Source organism: Homo sapiens, chromosome 3 (genome assembly GCF_000001405.40).
Source record: "Homo sapiens chromosome 3, GRCh38.p14 Primary Assembly".
NCBI classification, from domain to species: domain Eukaryota; kingdom Metazoa; phylum Chordata; class Mammalia; order Primates; family Hominidae; genus Homo; species Homo sapiens.
In genome coordinates this window covers 109,177,277-109,185,469 of record NC_000003.12, presented here as the reverse complement: position 1 = coordinate 109,185,469, position 8,193 = coordinate 109,177,277, and the positions used below count along the sequence as shown (strand labels likewise).

The following is an 8,193-nucleotide window of genomic DNA, read 5'->3' as shown; positions in this document are numbered from 1 at the left end:
TGTTTTGTCTTGATTTGTTTTTTAAAGACAGGATCTCATTATGTTGCCCACACTGGAGTGTAGAGGCTATTTACAAGCATGATCATAGTCCACTGCAGCCTCAAACTCCTGGGCTCAAGTAATCCTTCTGCTTCAGCTTCCTGAATAGCTGAAATTACAGACTTACATGACCATGCCTGGCCAATGAGGGATTAATGTGAGTGGCACTTGGTGGATGCTCAATGAGGGTTTATTAAAGCTATAAAGACTGTTCATAGAAATATATTTTTTTCCCTGTATCCATCATAGATCTTATAATAGTCCTTGGCACATATCATAGATTCATTAAAATGTGTTGACCTCAAGCTTCAAATTAGCCAAGTTCCATTTTATGCTGAAATAACAGTATGTTGAATTTCAAAACAAGAAAAACACAAAGTTTTTAGAATGTAAGAGGCAATAACAACCCCAAAATCTTGAGAGACAGTTGTGACTTCATATCCACTGTGTGAAATATCCTGTGTAGTGATTAAGACCATGTGTTGCTCAAGAGGTTAAATACCAAGTTACTGTATGACCCAGCAATTCCATTCCTAGATGTATACACAAAAGCAATGAAAGCCTGTACATGAATGTTCACAGAAGCATTATTTATAACAGGAAAATGTGAAAACAATGCAAATGTTCTTCAACTGATTAATGGGTAAATAAAATGTGGTGTATCCAGACAACCAAGTATCATTTGATAAAAAAGAAATGGAATGCTGATACATGCTACAACATGGATGAATCAAAGACCACATATTGTATAATCCCATTCATCTGAAAGGTTCAGAAGAGCTAATTCAATAGAGATAGAAAGTAGGTTAGTTGTTTCTTGGGTTTGGGGAGCTGAAGAAAAATGGAGGGTGATTGACAATGGGTATGGAGCTTATTTTGGAGTGATGAAAATGTTCTAAAATTGTAGTGATGGTTGCACAACTTCACAAATATGCTAAAAATAATTAAATTGTACACTTTAAAATGCATATTATAGTGTATACAACAGGGTTTTTTTTGTTTTGTTTTGTTTTGTTTTAAAAAAACGGATGATGAGCTCCAAAGCCAGATTGTCTGGGTTCATCTCAAGACCCCTTCATTTCCTAATTATGTGGCCTTGAGCAGGTTACTTAATCTCGCTGCCTTTCAGATAATAATGATGCCTACCCGGTAAGGTTATGGTGAGAATTAAACTCATCAATATGCATAAAAGGTTTAGGTAACCACTTAACAAAAAGTTCAATAAATATAAACTTTTATTAATGTTGTTTTCTTGTTCTAGAGGGATTCATCTGCAGGTTCCTAGATCATCTGTTTTGACCTACAGTGCCTTGGGGGATGGTTCATACGCTAGTGATCGCTTTTCTATAGTTTATCTTGTTGATAGCCAGTCTACTGTTCTCCTCTGTCTTAGCAGAAATTTCTCCTTTCTTCTGATTTTAATCTGTAAAATAGATTTCTCCTGTTGCTACTACCCTCATCTATGAAGGTGTAGACTGCTGAAGGAAATTTCTCTTTTCTCAGGGCTGGTTCTCTTTACACAAGAGTGCCCAGCAACCCAAGTGATGGGTATCCAGAGATAACCCTAAGGGCTGAATCGTGTGCATGGGGAGAAGGGATGGACAATGATTAGGAAACTGCTGTCTAATCATGAAATAAGTATCCCTGAGTCAGAGTATGTTCCACCTGCATCCAACCTTTGCTAGTCTCTTGGCCATCCAGGACAAGTTGGGTAAAGACTGAATAAACTTAGATGAAGATCCACTATTATGCCCATGATGCTATCAGCTAGACATTTTCAGACATGGAACACTCTCTCTCTTTAGAACTTACTTATTACAAGATGCAATCTGTCGTATTCATTTTCTTGTACTATTTAAACATCTTTTTTTTTTCTGGGAAAAATTTAAGCTTGATCACAATTCTTAACGAGCACCCCTAGATTCAATTCTTCTGTTATAAACGTAGATTGTCTTGCTTATCCTTTTTGTTGTTGTTGTTGTTGTTTTTCTTGTCATATGCTCTTTCCTTTCTTCTTTCATTCAGTGAATGAATATTAATTGAGTGCTTCTTACATGCCAGATACTGTTTTAAGACAAATTCCTTGTCAGCTTGAAGTTTACATACTAGTTGGGAGAAGTCAGGGAATAAGTATAGGCTGGGCATGGTGGCTCACTCCTGTAGTCCCAGAACTTTGGGAGGCCGAGGTAGGTGGATCACCTTAGGTCAGGAGTTCAAGGCCAGCCTGGTGAATATGTTGAAACCCCATCTCTACTAAAAATACAAATATTATCTGGGCGTGGTGGTGGGTGCCTGTAATCCCATCTATTCAGGAGGCTGAGGTGGGAGAATCGCTTGAACCTGGGAGGCAGACGTTGCAGTGAGCCGAGATCACACCACTGTACTCCAGCCTGGGCGACAGAACAAGACTCTGTCTCAAAAAAAAAAAAAAAAAAAAAAAAAGAGTAAGTACATAAGCAAGTATATTGGTGTTATGTCAAATGGAAATACATGCTATGAGGGAAAAAAAAAAAACTAAAACAAGCCAGGAGGATTGGGAGTGCTGGTGAATATTATTTAATGTACAAATTTCAGGAAAGGACTCATGGATAAGGTGACATTTGAGCAGAGACGTGGAGGAAGCGAGGGAGGCCGCCTCTTGGGTACCTGATGAGAGAGAGGCTGAGTTGGGGGTGTGCTTGGCATGTTTGAAGAGCAGCAAGGGGGTTGCTGTGGCTGGAGCCCACTAAGCAAGCAGGAGAGAGGTAGAAGAGAGAGGTCAGAGAACTAACAGAACCAGATCATGCAGGGCCTTGAAGGAAACTGCGTAAAGGTTAGATTTTACTCTAAAGGGAAGGAAAGCCATGAGAGAATTTTGAAGAGCGTATTGAGACATTCAACTTAGATTTTTTTTTTTTTTTTTTTTGAGTCTCACTCTTGTCGCCCAGGCTGGAGTGCAATGGCGTGATCTTGGCTCGGTGAAACCTCCGCCTCCTGGGTTCATGCAATGCTCCCACCTCAGCCAACCGAATAGATGGGATTACAGGCACCCGCCACCATGCCTGGATAATTTTGTATTTTTAGCAGAGATGGGGTTTCATGATGTTGGCCAGGCTGGTCTCAAACTCCTGACCTCAGGTGATCTGCCTGCCTCAGTCTCCCAACGTGCTAGGATTACAGGTGTGAGACACTGCACCCAGCCAATCTAATTTCGATTTTTAAAAGACTCTTTACAGCTATTTTGTTGACAGGGAGACAAGGGTGAGAATCAAGGAGCCCAGGTAGGGCACTGTTTTTGTAATCCTGGAACATCCCAATTTTAATAACAGTGTAGGTGACAGAAAGTACTTAGGTTCTGGATGTGTTTGGAGTGTAAAGCTAGCAGAATTTGCTGATAGATTCGAAGTGCAATGTGTGAGAAAGAGGAGTCAAGAATGACTTAAATGAAAAATAAAAACAAAACTACCAAACTACGTCTCTATTTCCAGAGTGGCTGTATCATTTTGCATGTGCACCAGCAATGTATGAATGATCCACTTTCTTCACATTCTTGCCAGCATTTTGTGTTATCACTATTTTTTATTTTAGCTATTCTGATAGGTATGCAGTAATATTTCATTGTGGTTTTAATTTGCATTTTCCTAAGAAAAGAAACTAGAGCAAACAAACAGCAAGAAAAAAAGAATGACTGAACCAAGGATTCTTTTCGGGTTGATGAAAATCTTCTGCAATCAGATAGTGGTGATTGTTGCACAAAACCCACTGAATTGTATACTTAAAAAGAGTGAATTTTGTGGCATGTGAATTTTATCTCAATTAAAAAGTAATGAATACTGCACTGTCTTTGTTTTGAAGAGCTGGAAAAATCTATTGGCAATTACCAACGTGGGAAAAATGGGTGGAAGGAAGCTGGTTTTTGTGGAATGGGGGAAGAGAACAGGAATAGTGAATATATTACTTTTGAGATGCCTCACAGATATCCATGTGAAAATATTTAGTGTGATTTGGATATAAGAGTCCCAAAACCCAGAGAAATCTCCAATTTGGAGAAAGAAATTTAGACATTATCAGAATACAGATAATGTTTAAAGCTACAGGCCAGGCTAAAGTCACCAGAGAGAGAATGTAAACAGAGAAGAGAAGCACTTAGCTTGAGCACGGCAACACTTAGCGGTCAGAAAGATTTGAAAATCAGCAAAAGATACTGAAAAGGAGGAGCCAGTGAGGTGGGAAGAGAACTTGATGTCCCAAATATCAAGTAAAGAACATATTTTATGAAGCAGAAGTGGCCAATTCTGCCTAATGTTGCTGATGAGTCAAGTAAAATAAGAATCGAGAACTGACCACTGGATTTTACAAATTGTTGATCATGACAAGAACAGTTTTTGTGGTATTGGGGGCAAAAAAAAAAAAAAATTGGAGCGTTCATAAGTAAATGGGAGGAGAGGATGAGAATTAATGGGTGCAGAGAAATAGTGGAGGGAGAGGGAGAAGAATGTGAGACCAAGAGAAGGTTCTTTTCCTTTTCTTTTGAGGTGGAAGAAATATAGCACGTTTATAGGCTGATAAGAAACAAGTAGAGGGAGTGAAAATTGATGATGCAGAAGTGAAAGGAGAGAATGGCTGTAGTGATATTCTTTTTTTTTTTATAGCGATATTCTTTTTTTTTTTTTTTGAGACGGAGTCTTGCTCTGTCGCCCAGGCTGGAGTGCGGTGGCACCATCTCGGCTCACTGCAAGCTCCGCCTCCCGGGTTCACGCCATTCTCCTGTCTCAGCCTCCTGAGTAGCTGGGACTACAGGCGCCTGCCACCACGCCCGGCTAATTTTTTGTATTTTAAGTAGAGACGGGGTTTCACCATGTTAGCCAGGATGGCCTTGATCTCCTGACCTCGTGATCTGCCCACCTCGGCCTCCCAAAGTGCTGGCACTACAGGCATGAGCCACCGCGCCAGGCCTTTATAGCGATATTCTTGAATGCAGATGAAGAGGATGGAATCCAGTGACAAGTGGAGGGCTGTCCTCAGATAGGAGTCCAGGTAGTTTATATCTTGAATAACTGGCGGAATGTGAGTATATAGGAGCATGGGTACAAGTAGGGTAGCAGATATGATTGAGAGTATGTAGTTTTCTTCTTATCATTTTTTTTTTTTTTAAGGGAAATAGGAACCAAAGCCACTGACCAAGAATGAGGGTGGAGGAGGAGATATTGAAAGTTTGTCAAAGGAGAAGATATTAAATGCTCGCCTAAAGAAATGAAAGAAGGAGATTCTTGAAATGTAGTGGCCTTTCCTTGGCAGTGCCGTGGGCCCATGTGAGAGATTTCTGGTCATGAATTTACAGTGAGATCTGTCAGCGTAGCTGTGTTTTGCTTTTTTCCCCAACCATAGCACAGGTGCAGGCATAGAGTAAACAGAGAGCTGGAGTAATCAGAATTGAGGATTTTTTTCAGACAAGTTAGAGGAAGAAAGTGTGTGTTGGGAGGGAGTTGTAGGTGTCTACAAGGAAGTGTTACAACAATGGACCATGACTTCTAAGCCCCGTAAAGACGGAAGAAAGGACCTGAGGGGAGTGAAGAACAGTGAGTAACGATGAAGGCACTGGATTGTAGAACCAGGTGGAGTCCACGAATTTTCGGAATTGGAGTGCTAGAGGTAGTGAGCCAGAAAAACAAGAGAAGCACAAGTCTGCAACGTATAATAGCACGCCAACTCTGCTTCATGCAAAGATGTTTAAATCCAGCAGTACAGAATGGCTTGGTAAAAACTCAAGGCATGTTAAAATATCATTCACATGAACTCAAGTGGTAATAGTCAAAGTTGTGAATAAAAAAATCCTTTCACACATTTTATAAAAACAGGTAACAACAATTGAATGTATGTTATCATTGCTCTGGGGCAAGAAAAGAGCAGTCGTCTGTTTATGACTAAAATTGTCAGTGCTCAAAATGTTCCAAGAGTCAGTATTTAATTAATAAGTTGCCACACTCATTTCACAGATGCCACATATGAGAGAATTAAGTATAGAATGAAGAATTAATGAACCCCTATTTAGGAAAACATGGGAATTAATACACACACCCACACCCAACCAACCACACACACGTACACACCCTGGTAATCAAAACTATAAACTGAAGAAATTAAGAAGATTGAAGAGCAGTAACTAAAAATATGCTTGTGTCAGAGTATCCAAAGAACACAGCTTACATAGAGCACAGGACTTTCCTGTGGTTTAAATCTTGAGTACAAAAAAATGTTTGACACCCAGTAAGTATAAAACAAATATTTGTTTGATTGAATTAAATGAATGAATAAATAAATGAATGATGATGATTTGTCATCTCTCTATCATGACATTTGTGTATAACAAAATCTTTTCCATTTTGTCCCATGCAGGTTCAATTTCTGGTTGGTAATTGGCAATGATGGAATGACTGTCCGGAGTAAAGAAGCCTCTCTTTGTTCTTGTGCCATGATTTCCCAGCCAGGCAGTGCTTGCAGTTCACTGGACTGATCATTTTCTTTCACACTCTGTGCCTTTGCAAATATTATTCTTTTGTCTGAAAATTGCCTGCTCCCAACCCTTCATTATCATCCCCACTAACTCTCACCCACCCTCCCCAGCTTGTTGACTTGGAAACTCCTTCTTTTTTTACCAGCTGCAATTCAAGCAACACCTCCTCTGGGGAGCCTTTTCAACTCTGCCTTAGTCTTTTTTGGCCCTAGTTTTTGCATCTCTCCAGATTCACTGGGCTTTCTCTGCTTTCTGGGTCACTTGTTCAGTGAAGAACCCCTACCCCATCATCACCACAACTCTTAACCCTACCACCCTTAGCCCTTTCCAGATGAGGGCTGTGCTCTAGCATGGCTCCTTCATACTCACCATGATGGGACTGCAAAGACCCTGGTGTCTGGGGCCTGAACCCACTGGGCCCCTGAAGTTCAGCTTCCTGCAGCATTCCCAGAATCTGAGGAAGCACCGTGAACCGAGGTCTGGGCTCTGACTTCCCTGATCCTGGAGCCAGGTCATCCAATCTGTAAATGTAAAGGATGGAATTATTTTTACCAATGAGGAACAGGTAGACTCTTACGCCTTTCTCCCCATGCCCTATCCCCACCCTTTACAGACTGTGAAAGCACACAGATTTCTACTTACAGACTGTTCTGAAGCACATCGATTTCCACACGACTGACTGGAGACATCTAGTGTGATCGAGACCTCAGCTGTGTGTTATAATCAATGTGCCACCTTTGCTTCCCCCTCTGCTCTCATTCTTGCTGCTCAATAACACCGGAACTCTGCTCCAGGTTCTCATTTCTATGCAAGTGTAGAAATCCTCTACAATCTCCTAGCAACACAGGCATACCGCTACCCTAGCTTGAAATAACCTGAGTCATGATTGTTAGTTTACTTTAACAGAGATTCTTGATTGCAGAGGAACTTTTTTTCAGTGGTCTCATTACTTAGCACCATGTTGGGAACATAGCAGGTGACTCAATCAACAGTTTTTAATTAATTAATGGCTTTAACATTAAATAATTATAGAACACATTTAAAACAAAAAGAGCTCTTAGACATTTTTGCTTTAATTCTCTGTGTGATATGGAGAAACTGCCTGAGGCCAGGAGAATTAAGGTACTTTCCAGAGTCATGCAGCTATTGAGTAGCCAGACTGGAGATGGCATATTGGTTTCCTGATCACACAGCACTATTCTCTTTTAGAAAACTGTTATTTCCATTTATGTGAGTGGAAAACAACATCAGGATCAATCTGGCAAACCCCTGGGAACTGTGTTTCTCCAGGCCATCTTTAAGCCTTTAGATTAAAATATAAAATTGGGTAACACTAACAATAGAAGACAGTGTTCCTTTGCTTCTGTCCCCATCCTCTACAAAGTCCCTGCTGCCTTTTTTCCTGGATGTCTCCAGGTGGTGTCTCACAGGTGATTGCAAACACAGTCCTGCCAGCTCCCATATGGCACCTGTCATGACATTCCTTTTCTTCTTCAATTTCTAGCTCAGTGCCCACAGCCAGAGCTTCCCAGGCTGCCTGTCCACGGGTGTGGCACATCTGCAGAGCCTCAGGTGGCTCCTGCTACTGCTCACCCCACAAGCCCTGACTGCTAATATCTGCCCAGGGCCCTGTTTCCTTCCCTAGTATTCCTGTGGGCTGG

The 8,193-nt window shown here is 40.9% G+C and overlaps 1 long non-coding RNA gene across 1 annotated transcript; it reads right to left on the bottom strand.

Annotated features, from left to right (window-relative positions):
* Nucleotides 1-208: 208 nt before the first annotated feature.
* On the bottom strand, nucleotides 209-7,305 carry LINC00488 (long intergenic non-protein coding RNA 488). Its single transcript, NR_026767.1, has 3 exons — nucleotides 7,175-7,305; nucleotides 6,902-7,053; nucleotides 209-2,449 (listed from the first exon to the last, which is right to left on the bottom strand). It is a non-coding gene; the product is annotated as a long intergenic non-protein coding RNA 488 (long non-coding RNA).
* Nucleotides 7,306-8,193: the final 888 nt, after the last annotated feature.